The sequence below is a fragment of the Homo sapiens genome, chromosome 10 (assembly GCF_000001405.40).
Source record: "Homo sapiens chromosome 10, GRCh38.p14 Primary Assembly".
Taxonomy (NCBI): Eukaryota; Metazoa; Chordata; class Mammalia; order Primates; family Hominidae; genus Homo; species Homo sapiens.
Window position 1 is genome coordinate 74,196,398 of NC_000010.11, and position 23,606 is coordinate 74,220,003.

At 39.4% G+C, this 23,606-nt stretch overlaps 1 protein-coding gene across 13 annotated transcripts in view, besides 2 other annotated features; it reads left to right on the forward strand.

Annotated features, from left to right (window-relative positions):
- ADK (adenosine kinase) overlaps positions 1–23,606 on the forward strand; it is a 558,070-nt gene that overhangs the window by 45,177 nt on the left and 489,287 nt on the right. For all 13 annotated transcript variants that reach the window (NM_006721.4, NM_001369123.1, NM_001202450.2 and 10 more), the window contains exon 2: positions 4,367–4,441. In NM_006721.4, coding sequence (NP_006712.2) covers positions 4,367–4,441 — 75 coding nt within the window. The remainder of the gene's footprint in view (positions 1–4,366; positions 4,442–23,606) is intronic.
- Positions 10,081–10,613: an enhancer, noted in NCBI's record as "H3K27ac-H3K4me1 hESC enhancer chr10:75966236-75966768 (GRCh37/hg19 assembly coordinates)". NCBI's record gives its function as "activates a minimal SCP1, AML or CMV promoter by ChIP-STARR-seq in naive H9 embryonic stem cells {active_cell/tissue: H9 hESC(naive)}" and the evidence as "EXISTENCE:reporter gene assay evidence [ECO:0000049][PMID:30033119]".
- Positions 10,614–11,144: an enhancer, noted in NCBI's record as "H3K27ac-H3K4me1 hESC enhancer chr10:75966769-75967299 (GRCh37/hg19 assembly coordinates)". NCBI's record gives its function as "activates a minimal SCP1, AML or CMV promoter by ChIP-STARR-seq in naive H9 embryonic stem cells {active_cell/tissue: H9 hESC(naive)}" and the evidence as "EXISTENCE:reporter gene assay evidence [ECO:0000049][PMID:30033119]".

Here is a 23,606-nt window from a genome sequence, read left to right on the forward strand (position 1 = left end):
GGCATAGTGGTGCGTGCCTGTAATCCCAGCTACTTGGGAGGCTGAGGCAGGAGAATCGCTTGAACCTGGGAGGCGGAGTTTGCAGTGAACCGAGATTGCGCTACTGCATTCCAGCCTGGTGACAGAGCGAGATTCTGTCTCAAAAAAAAGAAAATGAGCACTAATAATCTTTTCTATATTACAGTTTTATAATAAAAATGCATTACATATTAAACAGATTCACAAAGTGAACTAATGACAATTTACGTCTGTCCCTATACTTTCAGTTGTAAGTAACTAAAAACCAGCCTCAAATGGAAATAAACAAAACTACCGACATATGTAATTGAAAAGTCCAGATACCTGGGTGATGAAATAACCTGTACAACAAACCCCCATGACACAAGTTTACCTATGTAACAGACCTGCACTTGTACCCCTTTACTTAAAAAAGCAAAACAAAACAACAGAAAAGTTCAGATGGAGTATAGGTTTCAGGTAAAGCTTTATTAGGTGGTCCAACAACTTCATTAATGACCTGGTTTCTTTCAGTTTTCGCACTCTGCTTTCTGTGGTGTTAAATTTATCCCAAGGCAGCCACATTGAAGCCATTAGGTTTTTAAGGCTTCTAGCACCTTCTTCATTTATATCTATTAGGGAAAAATATGTTCTGTATCTGAGCATCATAGAAAAAAATCTTGGGTTCATTCTGATTTTCCTGGCTTAGGTTACATGCCAGTCTCTGAACTGATTACTAAGGCTAGAGAAATATATTGTGCTGATTGGCTTAGGTTTGCCCCAGGGATCAATTCCACCCAAATTCCATTCTTGAGTGAGGAAATTTGGGGTAAAAGAGGGAGGATAGCAAGGAAAAGATGACAGACACACAATTCCAGTTTATTATAAGAATGACTTCAAATGACCTTAACTGAATTGTAATATTATTTGGGAACAAGTCAAACATTATTAACATTTAGGCCCAGAGATGGTAGATGGCTTGCTTAAGTCTCCCAGCAAGCTACCTCAAGAACTGAGACTTGGGCTGGGCGTGGTAGCTCACACCTGTAATCCCAGCACTTTGGGAGGCCCAAGGCGGGTGGATCATTTGAAGCCAGGGGTTCGAAACCAGCCTGGCCAACATGGTGAAACCCCATTTCTACTACAAATATAAAAATTAGCCAGGCGTGGTGGTGGGCACCTGTAATCCCAGCTACTCAGCAGGCTGAGGAAGGAATTGCTTGAGCCCATGAGGCAGAGGTTGCAGTGAGCAGAGATCATGCCATTGCACTCCAGCCTGGGTGACAGAGAGAGACTCCGTCTAAAAAAAAAAAAAAGAAAAAAAAAAAGAACTGAGACTCAGAAGTGAATTATTTGACTCTTGAATTGTACTTCATTCTTAGAATCAATTATTGGCCTCTCTGTAAGACTGTCTTTACTGAGTTTTTAAACGGAGTATAATAAACTCTTTTGGGAATGCGGTAGATGTTCAAAGGTTTGACTTCTTAAAAAGAGGTGTAACAATTATATTCCTTAAAACTGAGAGGGGACCAATTGAGGGTAGAGGGATTGATGTGGGGGCAGGAGGATACTTTTTTGTTGTTATTGTGATGAAAATGTTCCATAGTTTTGTGGTTATATGACTGTATACATTGAACTGGATGCTTACAAACGGTGATAAAAAGGGTGAAGGAAAATAAAAAACCAAGTAGCCCAATAACACTGCTCATCCTTGTTTTTTTGTTTTGTTTTGTTTTTTAAATAACAAGTTCTAGGAGTTTTTGTTTGAATAAGAATATATAAATCAGGCAGAGTAGTCCCAGTGAAATCATGGTTAGATTTTACTGTATTTGTCTGTTGATCCTTCACCTTCTAAGCACTTAAAATACTTTTTTATTAGACTTGCTTTGATCACATATGCAATTTAAGTGTGAATAAGTAAGTGTATTATCTTTCCCTCCTCCACTCAGCTTTCTTTAAATAGAAAAGGGACAAATATCTCTTTATTGCATATTCAGCCATAGTTGCTCAATCTATGGTGTTAATAAGAGACTGTAATTTTATCTTCTAAAAATCATTACAGATTATAATTATAGGCTGTACCTCATTCTCTTAAAGAAATATTGGCATGTTAGTCCATTGATATTACTGATAGTTGCCAAATGGTGAGAATGGTAACTGGTTTGGAGGCAACTGAAAGGGAGGGGGAATCATCAGTAAACTGGAGACCAATAAAAAATTACACAGAAACAAATCTTTTTGGATAAACTAGATGAATGTCTCTTATTGAGACTGATCCAACAGTATTCACTGGCCCATTTCTTGCTGCTAGATGAGCTTCTGTTTAAGGCATCACTTGTGGTGGAGTTCTTTCTTTTATTTGGATTGGAACCATACTGTGATCTCTTATGGAAAACAGACTTCCTCCAAGTCTGTTAAATATAATTTAAAATTATATCGTTTCTTGTTGATTTGTTTGTTTTTGTTTTGCTTTATTTCATGTTATAGGCATCTGAAATGAATCCTTATATATATAACATACAAGTATATGTATGAGAAGACATGAATATAAGAAGTATAGGAAACATAAGACATGAATAAAAGTTTTAGCTAGACATTTTTAGATGAAAAGATGTGCATTTAAATTTGTAAAAGTTACAAATCGTTCTATAAAAAGTTAGCATATATTTAAATTTTTTGGATACATAATAAGAGAATTATATCACTTCTGATATCCATTGTGAAGACCCTACCACAGTCATTTTTTTGTGAAGGGTAGATAGGGCTCTTGCTTGTACTCTTCCAGGATGTGCCACGGGCTCCCTAATAACATTCAGGGGAGTGCATGTGCAGGTTTGTTACATGGGTATATCATATGATACTGAAGTTTGGTTTTGTAATGATCCCCATCGTCTAAGTAGTGAACATAGTAACCAATAGGTAGTTTTTGAGCCCTTGCTTTCCTGTCTCCCTCCCTGATTTTGGAATCTCCAGTGTCTTTTGTCCCGACATCTTTGTGTCTCTGCGTACCCAGTGTTTAGCTTCCACTTATAAGTGAAAACATGTGATATTTGGCTTTCTGTTTCTATGTTAATTCACTTAGGATAATTCAGCTGCATCCATATTGCTGTAAAGGACATGATTTCGTTCTTTTTTTATGGCTGCATAGTATTCCATGGTGTATATGTATTGAATTTTCTTTATCCATTCTACCATTGATGGGCACCTAAGTTGATTCCATGTCTTTGCTATTGTGAAGAGTGCTGTAATAAACATATCCCTTTTTGGTAGAATGATTCATTTTTTTTCATTTTTTTTATTTTTTAGGCAGAGTCTCGCTCTGTCGCCCAGGCTGGAGCGCAGTGGCACGATCTCGACTCACTGCAACCTCCACCTCCTGGGTTCAAGTGATTCTCCTGCATCAGCCTCCTGAGTAGCTGGGACTACAGGTGCTCGCCACTACACCTGGCTAATTTTTGTATTTTTTATACAGATGGGGTTTCACCTTGTTGGTCAGGATGGTCTTGATCTGCTGACCTCATGATCCACCCACCTCGGCCTCCCAAAGTGCTGGGATTACAGGTGTGAACCACCGTGCCCAGCCTAGAATGATTCATTTTTCTTTGGGTATATACCCATAATGAGATTGCTGGGTCGGATGGTAATTATATTTTAAGTTTTTTGAGAGATCTTTAAACTTCTTTTCACAGGGGCTAACCTAATTTGCATTCCCATCAGCAGTTTATAAGTATTACCTTTTCTCTGCAACCTTGACACCATCTGTTTTTTTTTTTTTTTTTTTTTGACTCTTTAGTAATAGTTATTCTGGGCTGGGCACAGTGGCTCACACCTGTAATCCCAGCATTTTGGGAGGCTAAGGCAGGTGGATGTGCTGAGGTCAGGAGTTCGAGACCAGCCTGGCCAACATGGTGAAACCCCATCTCTACTAAAAATACAAAAATTAGCCAGGCATGGTGGCAGGCACCTTTAATCCCAGCTACTCAGGAGGCTGAGGCAGGAGAATCACTTGAACCTGGGAGGTGGAGGTTGCAGTGAGCTGAGATTGCACCATTGCACTCCGGCCTGGGCGACAAGAGCGAAACTCCGTGTCCAAAAAAAAAAAAAAAAAATAGGTATTCTCATTGGTGTGAGATGGTGTCTCATTGTAGTTTTGATTTGCATCTTTCTCTGATAATCATCTTTTTTTCTAAATGTCTTTATGCTACCTCTAAAATGTTCTACGTATAATAGGCAAATCAAATGTTTAATAAACTGGTGTGTTAGGTTTATTTTCAGGTTGAAATGAAGATAGTTATTTTTATTTTGTGTACCTTTTACATATCAACTTACTTTTAGAAGTATTTCTAACTTGTGTTTTGTGTTTTTTTAGAGAAAATATTCTCTTTGGAATGGGAAATCCTCTGCTTGACATCTCTGCTGTAGTGGACAAAGATTTCCTTGATAAGTAAGTATTAAACTCTTCATATGCACTATGTGGAACTTACATTTGAAGAAGAATGGATGAAAACTTTAGAAGTGAATTTACCACCGAATGTCTTCAATTAAAGGAAAACTCAGGAAATTTAAGTTTGGTGATAGCAAGTGTGCTATCATTAACTATTGAATAACTGAGTACAGTTTTCCTTGGGAAAACTTATATACATTGCTATTTTTACTTAAAACTTTTTTGCTTATTATTTGGAAGGAGAAAAGTTTATATAATTTACCTAATTATTTAATTCCCCAACTTTTAAACTACTGTCAGTGAGCTACGTCTATAATGGTATCATAATCTACAGACATTCTACCCCGAATGTGCCCAGTCTGGTTTCCTCTCAGAAGCTATAATGGGAGAAGAAAGATGATTAGAGAAGACAAGAGAACGTGCAGGATATAATTCAGAGGATATGAAGCTCTGCTGTTTCCGCTTTATTAGTAACTTCCAATGTTTCAACTTAGCTGAGAAATCAGTTTGTTTATTTACCTAAGTATTTGAGGCCATTTCGTACAATAGTCCCCACTTGTGTCCTTGTTTTCAGTTTCTGAGGTCTCAGTTACCCATAGGACAGTGTAATAAGACATTTTGAGAGAGAGACATGCACCACGTCCACATAACTTTTATTACAGTATATTTTAATAGTTGTTCTATTTTTAGTTAGTTGTTGTTAATCTCTTATTGTGCCTAATTTATAAATGAAACTTTATCATAGTATGATGTGTAGGTATGTATGTGTAGGAAAAACAGTGTGTGTGTGTTTGTGTGTGTGTGTATATGTATGTATGTATGTATGTATGTATGTATGTATCTATCTATCTATCTATCTATCTATCTATCTATCTATCTATCTATCTATCTATATATGGTTCAGTACTATCCATGGTTTCAGATACCCACTGGTCATCTTACAATGCATCTACCTCGGATAACGGGGGCACTACTATATGGCAAATTTAAGTAGTAAAAAAGATTAATGATGAGAAAGCAAGATCCCCCCTCTCCTCACACACCCTGATTTCTGTACCCAAGAGTAATTACTTTTTAAAAAATTGAGGCAAAATTTATATCGCATAAAATTGATCGTTTTAACCATTATAAAGTATACAATTCAGTGACTGCCAGTATATTCACAAAGTTGTACAACCATCACCACTATCTAATTCAGGACATTTTCATCACCCCAAAATGAAATCCCATACCCAGTAAGTAGTCATTCGCTATTCCCTCCTCTAACCCAGTCTCCTGGGAACTACTAGTATACTTAGTTTTTCTATGAATTTGTCTATTCTGAGCATTTTATAGAAATGGAATCATATAATAATATATGATCTTTTGTGTTTATATATATGACCTTTTGTGTTTGGGCTTATTTTACTTATGTAATGCTTTCAAGGTTCATCCATGTTGTAGCATGTATCAGTCCTTCATTCCTTTTAATAGTGGACTATTCCATTGTGTGGATAGACCACATTTTGTTTATCCATTCATTGGTTGATGGACACTTATGTTGTTTTTATTTTTTGTCTATTAGGAACAATGCTTCTTATGAATATTCATGTATAAGCTTTTGTGTAGGAATGTGTTTTCATTTCTCTTGGGTATACACATAGGAGTGGAACTGCTGGGTCACATGGTAATTCTGTGTTTAACTTCTAGAGAAACCACCAAACTGTTTTCCAAAGCAGCTGCACTGTTTTGCATTCCTACCGGCAGTGCATAAGTGTTCCAGTTTCTCTACGTCTTTGCCAAAGCTTATTTTTTATTTTTTAAATTATAGCCATATGAGTGGGTGTGAAATGATGTCTCATTGTGATTTTGATTTGCATTTTTCTATTGAAAACTTTTGATGTTAGCATCTTTTCATATGCTTATTGGATATTTGTATATCTTTGGGAAAATGTTGAAGCTCTTTGCCCATTTTTTAATTGGGTCGTTGTCTTTTTGTTAAGTTGTAAAAGTTCTTTTTATATTCTGGATACTAGACCCTATCAGCTAGCATATGATTTGCAAACATTTTCTCCCATTCTGGGGATTTACTTTAATTTTTTGATAGTATCCTTTGATGCACAAAAGTTTTAAATTTTGATGATGTCCATTTTATTTTTCTTTTGTTGCTTATGCTTTTGCTGTCATATGTAAGAATCTATTGTTAAATCCAGGATCACAAAGATTTGTGCCTGTGTTTTCTTCTAAGAGTTTTGTAGTTTAAGGTCTTAGATTTAGGCATTTGATCAATTTTGAGTTAATTTTTGTATAAGGTATGAAATAAGGGTTCAACTTTATTCTTTTGTGTGTGGAAATCCAATTGTCTCAACATCATTTGTTGAAGAGACTATTCTTTTCCCCACTGAATGATCTTGATACTCTTGACAAAATCAGGTGACCATAGATATATGGGTAAATTTCTGGACTCCATTCTATTCCATTGATACATATGTCTGTCCTTATGCCAGTATGACATTGGTGTTTTTGTGTATGTGTGTTTTGTTTTTTGTTTTTTTTTTGGAGACAGGGTCTTGCTCTGTCACCCAGGATGGGGTGCAGTGATGCAATCATAGCTCACTGAAACCTTGAACTCCTGGGTTCAAGTGATCCTTCTATTTCAGCCTCCCAAGTAACTGAGACTATATGCAGGTACCACCATCCCTAGCTATTTTAAATTTTTTTTTGTATAAACAGGGTCTCCTTATGATGCCCAGGCTGGTCTCAAACTCAAGTCTGGCTTGATCCTAGGCCCAAGTTGTCTTCCCACCTTGGCCTCCCAAAGTGCTGGGATTATAGGCATTAGCCACCATACCTGGCCTGTACGACACTGTTTTGATTACTGTAGCTTTGTAGTAAATTTTGAAGTCAGGAAGTGTCAGTCCTCCAACTTTGTTTTTCAAGATTATTATTATTATTATTATTAATTTTTAATTTGAGATCCCTCACAATTCCATATGAATTTTTGGGGATAGCTTTTTCATTTCTGTAAAAAAGGCAGTTGGAATTTTGATTGGAATTACATTGAATGTATAGATAAATACATGATTAAGTCTTCCGAGTTATGAAGACAGAATGTCTTTCCATTTATTTAGGTCTTTTTTTTTTTTTTTTTTTTTTGGAGACAGAATCTTGCTCTGTTGTCCAGGCTGGAGTGCAGTGGCATGATCTCAGCTCACTGCAATCTCCATTTCCCGGGTTGAAGCGATTCTACTGCCTCAGCCTCCTGAGTAGCTGGGATTACAGGTGTGTGCCATCATGCCTGGCTAATTTTTGTATTTTTAGTAGAGACAGGGTTTCACCATGTTGGTCAGGCTTGTCTCAAACTCCTGACCTTGTGATCCACCCGTCTTGGCCTCCCAAAGTTATGGGATTATAGGTGTAAGCCACTGTGCCTAGCCTTAGGTCTTTTTAAAATAATTTTAGCAGTGTTTAGTAGGTTTTCAGTGCATAAGTCTTATACTTCTTTGGTTAAATTTAATTTTATTATTTTTGATGCCATTGTAAATTGGGATTGTTTTATTTTCTTATTGTTCATTGATAGTATGTAGAAATATAAGTAATTATGGGGGACAATAATTTTTTTGAAACTTTTTTTTATATCCTGGGGATTACCCCTGTAAGTATATTTGGCTAAACTCAAATGTCAAAGGGTAAGGCAAGAATTTATAAATGTGTAAATTTGACTTACGGTAATATAATAGGAAATGTGCTGGGGGTCTAGGATAAACTGGGAGATGTGTTTTATCCTAAGACATTCAGATAGAAACTTTAAAACACACTTTCCCAGTCAGAAAATACTACTATATACAGTTACTTTAATGATTTTAGTTCTTTTGGTTACCTTGTACTTTTAAATAATATACTATACTTACATTTCTTAAAATTTCTTTTTCTGTCAAATTTCAGGCTGGGCGTGGTGGCTCACGCCTGTAATTCCAGCACTTTTGGAGGCTGAGGCAGGTGAATCACTTGAGGTCAGGAGTTCAAGTCATGCCAACATGGCAAAACCCTGTGTCTACTAAAAATACCAAAAATTAGCCAGGTGTGATGGCACGCACCTGTAGTCCCAGTTACTCGGGTGGCTGAGGCAGGAGAATTGCTTGAACCCGGGAGGCAGAGGTTGCAGTGAGCTGAAATTGCACCATTGCACTCCAACCTGGGTGACAGAGTTGACACTCTGTCTCAAAAAAAAAAAAAAAAAAAAAAAAAAAAATTAAACCAAGCCAAACCACACCAAAACAAAAAAACCCAAATTTCAATGGAATCCATTGACTTCTCATTATGGAGAACGAGATTACTGGTGCCCCTATTCTTTCCTATGCTACTTCTTCTATCTTTCTATTCTATTAACTGTGTTTTTAAGGTTGATGTTTTCATTCTGTTATCTATCTATAATTGTTTTCCCAACTTTGAATACAAATTCATAATGAAAGTTGAAAATGACTTACCCACATTATCACTCTGTGTATCATTTATTGCAGAATTAAGTAGTGTACCAGGAATGTAGAGCAGGTTAACATTTGAAATGTAATTAGAAGACTGGGCGTGGTGGCTCACGCCTGTAATCCCAGCACTTTGGGAGGCTGAGGTGGATGGATCACTTGAGGTCAGGAGTTTGAGACCAGCCTGGCCAATAGGGCAAAATTCCGTCTCTATTAAAAATACAAAAATTAACTGGGCATGGTGGTGTGTGCCTGTAATCCCAGATACTCGGGAGGCTGAGGCAGGAGAATCGGGTGAACCTGGGAGGCGGAGGTTGCAGTAAGCTGAGATTGCACCACTGCACTCCAGCCAGTGTGACAGCCTGAGAATCTGTCTCAAAAAAAAAAAAAAAAAAAAGAAATGTAATTAGAGTAATTCACTATAGTAAGAAACTAACATAACAGTCTAAGAAAACTCCATATAATTATCTCAATAGACAAAGAAAAACCTTTTGACAAAATCTAATATCTATTCCTGATGAAAAAAAATAACTTAAAGCAACCTAGGTAACTATGTCGATAACTTTCTTAACCCTATAAAGGTTACGTTAGGGGAAAACTGGTAGTGTGATGCTTATATGGGTATATAACGTATCAAATTGTATACTTTAAATGTCTACAGTTTATTGTATGTCAGTTATATATCAAAGGCTGTAATAAACAGAAAATAAAATCAGTTGGACATGAATTCATGGGTTTAAAATTAGATCTCTTTTGTTTGTGTAGTGTGAGATATTTTGTTCAGGAAGTCAACTAATTCATGGTCACTATTTTAAAAAAATCATGATGTATAAAAGTAAAGAGCAACTTAAAAATTTGAAATTTTATCGTGTATTTCAAAAGTAAAATAAAGTATAGAGACAAACCCATAAATGTAGAACATTTTATATGGGAAGCAAGAATTGAAATTTGGGATATACACACAGACCAGGTGGTCTTTGCTATGTCTGAAGAAGAAAGATAAGATTGGAAGTTTTATAAAAAGGTGAAATGTTTTGTATTGTTTTGAAAGAAAGCTCATTGGCACTAGTTTTGGGGAGGTGGCAAGCTTTGATTGGTGAGTGACTGCAGTGAGTAGAACTAGTCTTTTAGAGTCACAGCTCATTGTTTCAGTAGCTACTGGATAAAACTGTTTTCAGATGACAACAGGCAGTTTCAGCAGCCAGGCTTGCAGAGAATTACCTTCTTGGAGCAATGTTATGTGTGCTGAGTGCTCTTCCCCCCAGCCTGTCACCTGTTTTAGTCAGATATGACAAGAATGACCCAATTTATATGATTAGCTTTCACACATATATAATCAGTGTTGTTATTTTGGTGAACATGCCTCCAGATGTTTGTTAGGCATATATAACCTGAAGATGAATGTTTATGGGCTAATACTATGTGTAGTCTTTGTTAGTATGCTGTTTTTCACTCAACATTATGTTTTTGGATCACTGTTTTTAAAATTTCAGGCAAATGTGATCAGAGTGATTATGACTTGGCAGCTGTGTGATGATGTCACAGGATCCTTAGGGTGTCGCTTTTCCAGCCAGAAGCCACTGTGGTTGGTGGAGCCTTTGCCTGAGGTTTGCTTGTGCCTGCCAGGCTTGTTCTGCTTGTTTGGCCTGGCAGGCTGCGTTCGGCTCATGCTACCAGCCTGGATCCCACACCTGCCAAGGGCGAGCCAGGTGCAGAGTGGCGTGGCAAAGAGTGTGTGAGCAAGCGAATATGGGATCTGGCCACTGTGTACAGCCACTCATGCTGGCTGCTGTGGTGGGGTGGGCATCTCCAGGCACTGGCACAGGTGCTGGCTTCATGCAAGCTTGCGGCTGGATCTGATGCATCTCAAGTGGCTTCCACTGTAGGAACCCACGTCTGGACGAGGATAATATGGTGGTGCCCAGAAGCTTGGAGACACCAGAAACCACAGAGCCCCAAAGAGAGTGTCACAGCCCTGGATTGGGAACCCCCTAGGTCTGGGCTCTCAGAAGGGCTGCAGCTCTTCTTTCCTTCTTGTTGCCTGCAAGGTGCTGAGTGGGGTGAGGCATATTTTAGCTCTGTTTGTGTTACAGCTGTTTCAGTCCTGCCACTTGGTGGGTCTTCTTATCCTGCATCCATGAACAGTGAGGTATGGGGACAACTGGAGGGTGAGCAAGGTGGAGAGGAGCTTCATTGAGCAACAGAACAGCTCTCAGGAGACCCGAAGTGGGTAGCTCCTTTCTGCAGGCAGGTCGTCCTGACAAGTGTTCACCTCTCAGTGAGATGAGACCCCGAGGGGGTAACTCCTTTCCACAGTTGGTAGTCCCAGGTCTCTTCTGTAAGTCTGGCTGAGTCCAGGGTTTTTAATGGGCTTCACAAGGGAGAAGTGTGTGCTGATTGGTCCATGGGCGGCTATGGGTGGGTCTGGAAAAAGCACCATGAGTCTCACTCCCCTCAGTGGACCCCACCTGGAACTGATAGCCTGGCCCCCATGCTTCAGGCTGTCCCTGGCTTGAAGGCAGGGCTTCACCTGAACCCACCCCTTTTTTCCCAGGAGAGTGTCTGCCTCCTGCTGCCATCAATCATGTTGTCCACAGTGTGCAGGCTGTTGGTGATGAGGGTACTTGCTGGCCCCATTGAGCTGCCCTCAGTCCCACCTTGGCCTCCTTCCCATGCTTCTCTGCACCTAAAGTCCAGAGGGGGCTGAGGGGGCAGGGGGCTGGTATGTCAGTGCTGCCCCGAGCACATGCACACCTGCTGGGTTGTGACAGTGCCTGGGCTTGGCCACGACTTTGCTCCACCCTGGAGCAGGTGCTGGGATCGAGGAGAGGCCAGGCATGGGAACAGGCACTTCTGAGTCTGCAGGGGAAAGGGGGACTTCCCGGGCCCCAGAGAGTGCAGGGATACCTGGGTCCACAGCCATGGCTGGGTGGCTGCAGCTGCACTCAGGAGGGTGGGGCTCCAGCCCTGCCAACTTGGAAGTGGGTGTGGCTCCCACCTGTTCCCAGCTCCCATGGGCTCTGTGGAGCATGCAGCCCTGGCTGCATCTCCCCAATTGTAGCCAGTGTCTTTGCAGCAGCTGCTCTAGACAGCCTGCTGCTGCCATCAATGACGCTGCTGGGAGCTCGAGTAACTTCTTTGTTTTACATGTTTTACTAGCAGCTGGTCCTAAGTGGCTAGCTGAAGTTCTATTTTATATTTGGAAGGTTTTAATCTTTAACTTTGATTTTCAAATAAGTACTTGAAGATAAAAAACAAGTCTTTGGACCCTAACAATAAAAGAGTCTTCTCTATTGTTACTCCTGGCTATTTCTTCCAAATATATTTAAAAACTTACCTTATGATATAAACGAATCGTGTTTAGCCTACATTTTGAGCCACCATTAGATAAGTATTTAGATAAGTACTATGTATATATATATTTTTTATTTTTTTATTTTTTTATTTTTTATTTTTGAGTTGGAGTCTTGCTCTGTCACCCAAGCTGCAGTGCAGTGGCGCAATCTCAGCTCACTGCAACCTCTGCCTCCCAGGTTCAAGCGATCCTCTTGCCTCAGCTTCCCGAGTAGCTGGAACTACAGGCATGTGCCACCATGCCCGGCTAATTTTTGCAGTTTTAGTAGAGACAGGGTTTCACCATGTTGGCCAGGGTGGTCTCGAACTCCTGACCTCTGGTGATCTGCCCACCTCGGTCTCCCAAAGTGCTGGGATTACAGGCATGAGCCACCGCACCCAGCATAGATAAGTGGTATATTGCTATGGTTTGAATGATGGTATCCTCTCCAAAAATTCATGTTGAAACTTATCCCCAGTGTAGCAGTATAAGAAGTGTGACTCTTGGGGGTTGACCAAGTTATGAAGGCTCTGCTCTTATGAATGGGGTTAGCACACTTGTGAAAGGACTCAAGGTTGAAGGGAGAGCTCTCCTGCCTTTACATTCCTTCTGTCATGTGAGGACACAGTGTTCCTCCCCTCTGGAGGATGCAGCAACAAGGTTCCATGTTAGAAGCAGAGAAAAGCCTCGCCAGACACCAATCTTGCTGGTGCCTTAACCGTGGATTTCCCAGCCTCCAGGAATGTGAGAAATATATTTCTATTGTTTACAAATTACCCCAAACAAAATAAGAAAAATAAAACAACAACAAAACATAAGTAAGTAAATAAATAAATAGCCTGGTCTGTGGTATTTTTGTTATAGCAGCACAAGGGGACCAAGACATATACCAAATGAATGAGATATATACTGATTAGTATCTTACACTGTGAAAGTGAGTTCTAATTGTCAAAATTCATTTGATAAAATATTTTTCTGATTCTGATTTTTTTTTTTTTAGAGACAAGTTTTTCTGTTTCCCAGACTGGAGTGCAGTAGCACAATCATAGCCTAGTCACTCACTGCAGCCTCAAACTCCTGTCCCTCCCACCAAAAAAAGAATTGAAAGTTATTAGGAACACCTGTGGCAGAAAGTACATTATTGAAAAGAATCTTTTCTAGTAAACTGTAGGGACACAGTGGGCATGAGGGGATAGGAAATGTGGAACATATGAATACCTCCAGTTGAGCCCTGGTCTGTAATTATGGAGGTATGTATTAATAGGGATGAAAAAGGCAGGGAAGGAATGTGTAAGGTAGGTTTGCCTTGGTTTTTCCTGACACTAGATAAATATGAAAGTAAGAGGAATGAGAGAATGAATGAAATGGTAATTGAGAAAGGAAAACCATCAGTAGAAATGAAAATACTCAGTTTTGGCTGGGCGCGGTGGCTCACACCTGTAATCCCAGCACTTTGGGAGGCCGAGGTGAACGGATCACCTGAGGTCAGGAGTTAGAGACCAGCCTGGCTAACAAGGTGAAACCCCATCTCTATTGAAAATAAAAAATTAGCTGGGTGTGGTGGCACACGCCTGCAGTCCCAGCTACTCAGGAGGCTGAGGCAGGAGAATCGCTTGAACCCAGGAGCGGAGGTTGCAGTGAACCGAGATTGCGCCACTGCACTCCAGCCTGGGCGACAGAGTGAGACTCCATCTCAGGAAAAAAAAAAAAAAAAAAAAATAGAAAATACTCAGTTTTATGACAGGAGTAGTTGAGGAGACGTGTTTTTCTTACAGATCTAAACCTTTAATAAACATACAAACCTTACATGAGTTTTTATTAATCTGAGTATGCATGAAAGATGTTACTTAATGTTCAAACCTAAAATGCCCGAAGTAGCTGGCTGTGGTGGTGCTTGCCTGTAGTGCCAGCTACTTGGGAGGCTTTAGCTGTAGTGCATCATGATTATGCCTGTGAATAGCCACTGCACTCCATCCTAGGCAATATAGTGAGACCCTGTCTCTAAAAATTAAAAAAAGGAAAATGCTCAAAGTAATTGGCCATAAATTTTAGTGCTGATTATTCAGTGCCAATAATTTACAACTGAATTATTTCTATAAATAAAAATTTATTTCTTCTACAAATGGGTGTATGTTAGCTTTGAAAGTGAAAAAAATATTTAGTGTCAAGTGAGACTGCATGTGTTAGGTTAAAAGCTAGACATTTAATTGTTTTGCTTTAAAATGAATTGTAAACTGCTCTGACACTTTTGTAGTTAATTTTTTTTTTCTTTGAGATGAAGTTTCACTGTCGCTCAGGCTGGAGTGCAGTGGCATGATCTCAGCTCACTGCAACCTCTGCCTCCCGGGTTCAAGCTATTCTTATGCCTCAGTCTCCTGAGTAGCTGAGATTACAGGCATGTGCCACCATGCCTGGCTAATTTTTGTATTTTTAATACAGACGGGGTTTCACCATGTTGACCAGGCTGGTCTTTAACTCCTGACCTCAAGTGATCCACCCACCTCAGCCTCCCAAAGTGCTGGGATTACAGGTGTGAGCTACCGTGCCCGGTCTTTTAATTAATTCTTTATAAAGCTATTGCCATATTTTTTTCTACAGCTTTCAACATTATGTTTTGTATATTTAGGTCTTTAATTGACCTGAATATTCTGTCTGGGATTTTGTTTAGTATTTATGGATTAATTTGGAAAAAAGAGATCTTTACCAACAAATTTTCTTATCCTTACAAATATTTCTTTCTGTATTTTAGGTATTCTTCTATTATCTTTTAATAACATGTAAAATTTAAATACATTTAATATGGGTTACAAAATGGTTAGGCTGATTTTTTTAAAAAACGTATACATCTTATGGTAGTGATCATTTGCTAAATCTGTTAGATTCAAAAATTCTAAAAGTAAATGCTTTTTAGAAAAAAATTCAGACCATGTAGAAGTCAATAAAGTACAAATGAAATCTGGGGTCAGTATCTTTGCAGCAGTGTGTGCTGTCCACTAGAATGTTTCATGATTATGGAAATGTTGTGTATCTGTGCTATCCAACATGGTAACCACTAGTCACATTTGGCTTTGATCATTTGAAGTGTGGCTAGTGCAACTGATGAATTTCAACATTTTATTTCATGTTAATTAAATTTTAATAGATATAATTAGCATATATGATATTAACCAGTACAGCTTAGGTTTATTGTAAAATTTTACATTTCTTTTTATATGTTTATATTTTTTAAAGGTATCTTCAAAAAAAGTTGTATCTATTGTGTATATGATATATTTTTCTACAACATATTCTAGATTATTGGTGGTGTTTGGAAATGCTTCTTAAGTTTGAATATTTTCTCTTATTTGACTACCTTGTGACCTACATTAACAGATAGTCTTTGGTTATTCTGCTTCTCTCCTTCAAAATTCTAAATTCTTAGAATTTGAAATAAACTGCTATTTGAATCTTTATGTCATTTCACATATTGAGTGATTGGTCCTGAGTTGCTCTGGGGCTTCCTCAAAAAACAACCTAAATTATGGATACTAAATGAACACAGACTACTTTCCTTCATTTTGCCCAAATAGATGCTGTTCTTTGGGTTCTTTGATGTTCAAACTTAACTTTGAATATTGAAGGAAATGGTACTTCTAAGGATAAGTAAACATAGATTCTTTTTTAACAGTTCATTTCACAGCTCAACACACACTTTTTGGAGCATATGTTTTATGGTTACTCTTTTGCCAAATACTGGGAATACAATATTAAATAACTGTTTTGCCTTTAAGCAGCTTGTAATCTAATTGAGGAGACAGATGTGGAAAGAAATCACTTACTTCTTCACAGTGGCATTATAGAATAGAGGTTAAGAGTGTGCTCTGGAGCTGTGTGACCTTGGTTATCTATGGAAGCTCAGTTTCCTTGTGAGTAAAATAAGGTTATTAGGGTTCTTGTGAGGATTGAATGAGATTATTTGAATGTTTGGCATATGTTAGCTAATATTACTGGCTACTGAGCTTGAAATCTCTCGTGCCTCTATTATTGGCAATGGAGAGCACTTGAGAGATTTAAGCAGGCAGATGACATGGTTGGATTCATATTTTAGGATTATGTGAATTGCTTTGTCTGTAGTGGATCAATAGATTTGAGGAGGCTATAGTGATAAACCTGTTGCGAGATGATGACTTGATCACTTTAGTTATGATAGAATGGTTGGGAAGAGAGTGCAGTAATACTTTTCGTGTTATCAAGGTAAGACTTGATTGATTTAATGAAGAGGGTAAAAGGAGTTAGAGATAACATTTGAATTTTTGGTTTTGGTGACTGATGGTGGTATTTACAAATGAGTTAGGGAGTATAGGAGGAGGATATGGAAGAGGGGCTTGAAAGATTGAATTGAGTTTTGTTCAAGCTTGAGATGACTATGATATCCAGGCAGGCATATTCAGGAGACAGTTGGATTTATGTTTTTGGTGGGTAGAAGAGTCATGGCTGGACTCCTTTTGTTTCTGGAGACAGGGTCTTGCTGTGTTGCCCAGTCTGGAGTGCAGTGAGTGGTGCTGTCATGCCTCCCTGTAGCCTCCCAGGCTTAAGCGATTCTCTTACCTCAGCCTCCCGAGTAGCTGGGACTACAGGCATGTGCCCTACCATGCCCAGCTAATTAAAAAAAAATTTGTTTTTTAGAGATGGGTCTCACTATGTTGCCCAGGCTGGTCTTGGAATCCTCTGACCTCATTCTCTCAAAGTGCTGGGATTACACATGTGAGCTACAGTGCCTTGCCTGGACTCTTTAATTGTATTTAATTTTACATAGTTTGACGCAATATTATTCAATAAATGGTAGCTATTACTAGCACTATTTTTATTATTATGTGGCTGGTATTTAAAGCAACCAGTAGATGAAACTTTCTAAAAAAAAAGAAAGAGTAAAAAGTAAAAGGAGTGGGCTGGAAGCTAGAACATTTAATAGATGGATAGATAAAGAATGAGTATAGAATGAGATTAAGAAAAAGCAGAACTAAGACAAGCTCTGATGAAGTATGATGAGTTTATATAAGAATAGTCAATAATACCTGATGCAACAGAGATATCTAGTAAAGTAATGCCTAAAAGGGTCCCCTGTATTTGAATGGGATGTCAGTGGCGCCCTCTGCCAGGCAAATCACAGTGCAAATATGGAGACAGAAGCCAGAAATAAAATGTATTAGCAAATAAATGGGAGGTTGATATAACATGGGCCGGTTTTGCTGATGTGACCCAAGAGCTAAGCAGTGATATCAATATCTTCCAATTCCAAATTTTAAAATGTCCTTTAATAAAATATGTGGCTAGTCATTTTGAACAATTATCAGTAAAATTTTTAAAATAAAAAGCATAAGAAAAATTAAGAATACAAAGAGTATAGTTCTATTTTAGGTATTTAGGTTTAAATCTAGTTTAATTCTTTCAGCTTTCTCTAATTGAGTTTTAATCCTCGTTTACTTTGCTAATGAGATTTAAAAATATTATTTTCATAAACCTTGTAACTTTTTGCTTTTTTATTCTAACCCTGTGATTTACTCTTAATCTATTTCTTTATAAGCTTCTTAAATTTCAGTCCAGCTTTAGTCTCAAACATTGTTGTAGTGATTAATGGTTTTGCCCCCCCATTTTCTTCCTTTGTAATATATTTTAATCAACTTTTTTTTAAATTGGAAGAGCCAATTAAATATGTTGTTTAAAATCTTGCCATATCCACACTGTCTACCTGATTGGTTTTGCCAATTCTGTAAAACTTTACTTGATACTGTTGGGATTCTTTGGACTATGTGGCAATATTTGTAGATTTATAGAAATTTTACTGATTTAATTCTTGGAAGGCAATTTTAGTTCCAAGTATTTATAGAATATTTTATTGTCATCTGCTATGTACCAAGTCTTAACTTGACATTAACTGTGCAACATTAGGCATGGCACCTCTCTTATGACTGTCCTATTTCAGAACTTCACAGTCTGTTCCTGCGCCTTTCAAGGCACTAAGCTCTGTGCTATGCTGATCTTCAGAGGAGGAGCACATTTGAATAAAAAGTGTTTGTTTCAGTCTCATTAAAAGGCTCTTATAAAAGTTATGAACATTTAAAAGTGCCCTTTCCTCCCTTTTTGAGCTAATTGAATTCTTCATTTTATAGGGGTAGAAGATTCCAGGAAGAGGGGGCAGGGATGAGTATTTATCATAATTGTTAAATAATGCGCTGGACACTTTTTGTGTAATGTTATTTGATCTGGATAGCAACCCTGTGACATAGGCAGGTTTATCCTCATTAGAGAAATTAAGTGGCTTGCCCAGTTCAGAAAACAAGTTAATGTCAGAATCAGGATGATATTGCAGGTTTTTTGATTTGTATCTAGTGATTTTTTTCACTCAGTTGTTCTCTTTGTAGGGGCTAGAGGCAGAATAAAGAGGCCCCTTCCCTGTGCTCCCTCTTGCTTCCCCGTCTTCTATTCTTTGGAGTGTATGTCATTTTTCTCCAGTAATTTAGGGCAGAAAAAAATGTTGAGGACTACCACTGTACCATTTTGTTGTCTCTGATTTTTAGGAACTATGTTCATGGTAAGAATTGATTATAAAAGAATACCTATCTATGCCATTAGAAAACAAAACATCCAAAATATAGGCTGTGCTTTGCATCATTCTATGAAAGCCATGGTGGGAAGTTGGGTTATAGCTTTCTACTAAGTTGAAAGTAGGCTCTGTCGCCTAGGTTGGAGTGCAGTGGCACAATCTTGGCTCACTTACAACCTCCATCTCCCAGGTTCAAGTGATTCTCCTGCCTCAGCCTCCCCAGTAGCTGGGACCACAGGCGCCTGCCACCACGCCTGGCTAATTTTTGTATTTTTAGTAGAGATGGGGTTTTGCTGATGGGGTTTCGCTGTGTTGGCCAGGCTGGTCTCAAACTCCTGACCTCAAGTGATCTGCCTGCCTTGGCCTCCCAAAGTGCTGGGATTATAAGCATGAGCCACTGCGCCCAGCTAATGATTTTTAATAACTTTATATAATACTGATAAATCACTCTTTTTTTTTTTTTTTTTTAAGACAGAGTCTTGCTCTGTCACCCAGGCTAGAGTGCAGTGGCTCGATCTCGGCTCACTGCAAGCTCTGCCTCCTGGGTTCACCCCATTCTCCTGCCTCAGCCTCCCAAGCAGCTGGGACTACAATGCCTGGCTAATTTTTTTGTATTTTTTTTAGTAGAGACGGGGTTTCACCATGTTAACCAGGATGGTCTCGATCTCCTGACCTTGTGATCCGCCCGTCTCGGCCTCCCAAAGTGCTGGGATTACAGGCGTGAGCCACCGCGCCTGGCCTAAATCACTCTTTTTAGTGGACTCTAAATACCACTGTGATTTGATACCCCTTTTATTCATTTATAAAAATACATAAACAGCTTCCTTTTTTGATGTTTAAAAATTTTATAGTCCTTTCTGTCTTGAATTTGCATTTCTGTTATACTTTTCACACCAGATTCTATTCTTATATGATGTATTTTATGCATAAGTTATATTTTGCCTGTAACATGCATACATTATGAAGGTAGTATATTTTTATGCATTACAGTCTTTCATGCATATTGATTACCCTATTATATGTCTTTGCAGCCAGCCAAAATGTGTAAATTTTAAAATATCTCTTAGTCATTAAATTGTAATTAGCACACGGTAAAATAACAAATGTATTAAAATGTTGCTAAATTATTTTTTATTTATTAAAAAAATTTTTTTTCTCCTTCTCTGCCTTCAAAATGTTGCTTCTCTGCCTTCAAAATGTTGGTACATTATTAAACAGAAGAAAATAGGCCAGGTGCAGTGGCTCGCACCTGTAATCCTAGTACTTTGGGAGGACAAGGTGGGCGGATCACTTGAGGTGAGGAGTTGGTGACCAGCCTGGCCAACGTGGTGAAACTTCGTTTCTACTTAAAATACGAAAATTAGCCGGGCGTGGGGGTGCATGCCTGTAGTCCCAGCTATTTTGGGGACTGAGGCACGAGAATTGCTTGAACCCAGCAGGCAGAGGTTGCGGTGAGCCACAATCATGCCACTGTACTTCAGCCTGGGTGACAGAGTGAAACTCTGTCTCAAAAAAAAAAATAAAAAAAAAAAAGTTTCACAGACAAAATATGAATCATTCCTTGTTTAACACTTAAAAGGTTTTTATACTCAGGCAATAGAATAGTGTATAGTTTCATTCACAATAGGTGAGGAGTATGTCATCCTTTTTATATTAATAAAAAGTGAGAGGAGCCCAGATGGCCGAATAGGAACAGCTCCGGTCTACAGCTCCCAGCGTGAGCGATGCAGAAGACGGGTGATTTCTGCATTTCCATCTGAGGTACTGGGTTCATCTCACTAGAGAGTGCCAGACAGTGGGCGCAGGTCAGTGCGTGCAGCGCACCGTGCATGAGCCGAAGCAGGGCGAGGCATTGCCTCACTCGGGAAGCACAAGGGGTCAGGGAGTTCCCTTTCCTAGTCAAAGAAAGGGGTGACAGATGGCACCTGGAAAATCGGGTCATTCCCACCCGAATACTGCACTTTTCCGACGGGCTTAAAAAACGGCACACCAGGAGATTATATCCTGCACCTGGCTCGGAGGGTCCTACGCCCACGGAGTCTTGCTGATTGCTAGCACAGCAGTCTCAGATCAAACTGCAAGGCGGCAGCGAGGCTGGGAGAGGGGCGCCCGCCATTGCCCAGGCTTGCTTAGCTAAACAAAGCAGCCGGGAAGCTCCAACTGGGTGGAGCCCACCACAGCTCAAGGAGGCCTTCCTGCCTCTGTAGGTTGCACCTCTGGGGGCAGGGCACAGACAAACAAAAAGACAGCAGTAACCTCTGCAGACTTATATGTCCCTGTCTGACAGCTTTGAAGAGAGCAGTGGTTCTCCCAGCACGCAGCTGGAGATCTGAGAACGGGCAGACTGCCTCCTCAAGTGGGTCCCTGACCCCTGACCCCTGAGCAGCCTAACTGGGAGGCACCCCCCAGTAGGAGCAGACTGACAACTCACATGGCCGGGTACTCCTCTGAGACAAAACTTCCAGAGGAACGATCAGACAGCAGCATTCGCGGTTCACGAAAAACCACTGTTCTGCAGCCACCGCTGCTGATACCCAGGCAAACAGGGTCTGGAGTGGACCTCTAGCAAACTCCAACAGACCTGCAGCTGAGGGTCCTGTCTGTTAGAAGGAAAACTAACAAACAGAAAGGACATCCACACCAAAAACCCATCTGTACATCACCATCATCAAAGACCAAAAGTAGATAAAACCACAAAGATGGGGAAAAAACAGAGCAGAAAAACTGGAAACTCTAAAAAGCAGAGCACCTCTCCTCCTCCAAAGGATCGCAGTTCCTCACCAGCAATGGAACAAAGCTGGACGGAGAATGACTTTGACGAGTTGAAAGAAGAAGGCTTCAGACGATCAAACTACGAGCTACGGGAGGAAATTCAAACCAAAGGCAAAGAAGTTAAAAACTTTGAAAAAAATTTAAACGAATGTATAACTAGAATAACCAATACAGAGAAGTGCTTAAAGGAGCTGATGGAGCTGAAAGCCAAGGCCCGAGAACTACGTGAAGAATGCAGAAGCCTCAGGAGCCGATGTGATCAACTGGAAGAAAGGGTATCAGCAATGGAAGATGAAATGAGTGAAATGAAGCGAGAAGGGAAGTTTAGAGAAAAAAGAATAAAAAGAAACAATCAAAGCTTCCAAGAAATATGGGACTATGTGAAAAGACCAAATCTACGTCTGATTGGTGTACCTGAAAGTGACGGGGAGAATGGAACCAAGTTGGAAAACACTCTGCAGGATATTATCCAGGAGAACTTCTGCAATCTAGCAAGGCAGCCAACATTCAGATTCAGGAAATACAGAGAACGCCACAAAGATACTCCTTGAGAAGACCAACACCAAGACACATAATTGTCAGATTCACCAAAGTTGAAATGAAGGAAAAAATGTTAAGGGCAGCCAGAGAGAAAGGTCGGGTTACCCACAAAGGGAAGCCCATCAGACTAACAGCGGATCTCTCGGCAAAAACTCTACAAGCCAGAAGAGAGTGGGGGCCAATATTCAACATTCTTAAAGAAAAGAATTTTCAACACAGAATTTCATATCCAGCCGAACTAAGCTTCATAAGTGAAGGAGAAATAAAATACTTTACAGACAAGCAAATGCTAAGAGATTTTGTCACCACCAGGCCTGCCCTAAAAGAGCTCCTGAAGGAAGCACTAAACAAGGAAAGGAACAACCGGTACCAGCTGCTGCAAAATCATGCCAAAATGTAAAGACCATCAAGACTAGGAAGAAACTGCATCAACTAACGAGCAAAATAACCAGCTAACATCATAATGACAGGTTCAAATTCACACATAACAATATTAACTTTAAATGTAAATGGACTAAATGCTCCAATTAAAAGACACAGACTGGCAAATTGGATAAAGAGTCAAGACCCATCAGTGTGTTGTATTCAGGAAACTCATCTCACATGCAGAGACACACATAGGCTCAAAATAAAAGGATGGAGGAAGATCTACCAAGCGAATGGAAAACAAAAAAAGGCAGGGCTTGCAATCCTAGTCTCTGATAAAACAGACTTTAAACCAACAAAGATCAAAAGAGACAAAGAAGGCCATTACATAATGGTAAAGGGATCAATTCAACAAGAAGAGCTAACTATCCTAAATATATATGCACCCAATACAGAAGCACCCAGATTCATAAAGCAAGTCCTGAGTGACCTACAAAGAGACTTAGACTCCCACACATTAATAATGGGAGACTTTAACACCCCACTATCAACATTAGACAGATCAATGAGACAGAAAGTCAACAAGGATACCCAGGAATTGAACTCAGCTCTGCACCAAGCAGACCTAATAGACATCTACAGAACTCTCCACCGCAAATCAATAGAATATACATTTTTTTCAGCACCACACCACACCTATTCCAAAATTGAACACATAGTTGGAAGTAAAGCTCTCCTCAGCAAATGTAAAAGAACAGAAATTATAACAAACTGTCTCTCAGACCACAGTGCAATCAAACTAGAACTCAGGATTAAGAAACTCACTCAAAACCGCTCAACTACATGGAAACTGAACAACCTGCTCCTGAATGACTACTGGGTACATAACGAAATGAAGGCAGAAATAAAGATGTTCTTTGAAACCAACGAGAACAAAGACACAACATACCAGAATCTCTGGGACACATTCAAAATAGTGTGTAGAGGGAAATTTATAGCACTAAATGCCCACAAGAGAAAGCAGGAAAGATCCAAAATTTACACCCTAACATCACAATTAAAAGAACTAGAAAAGCAAGAGCAAACACATTCAAAAGCTAGCAGAAGGCA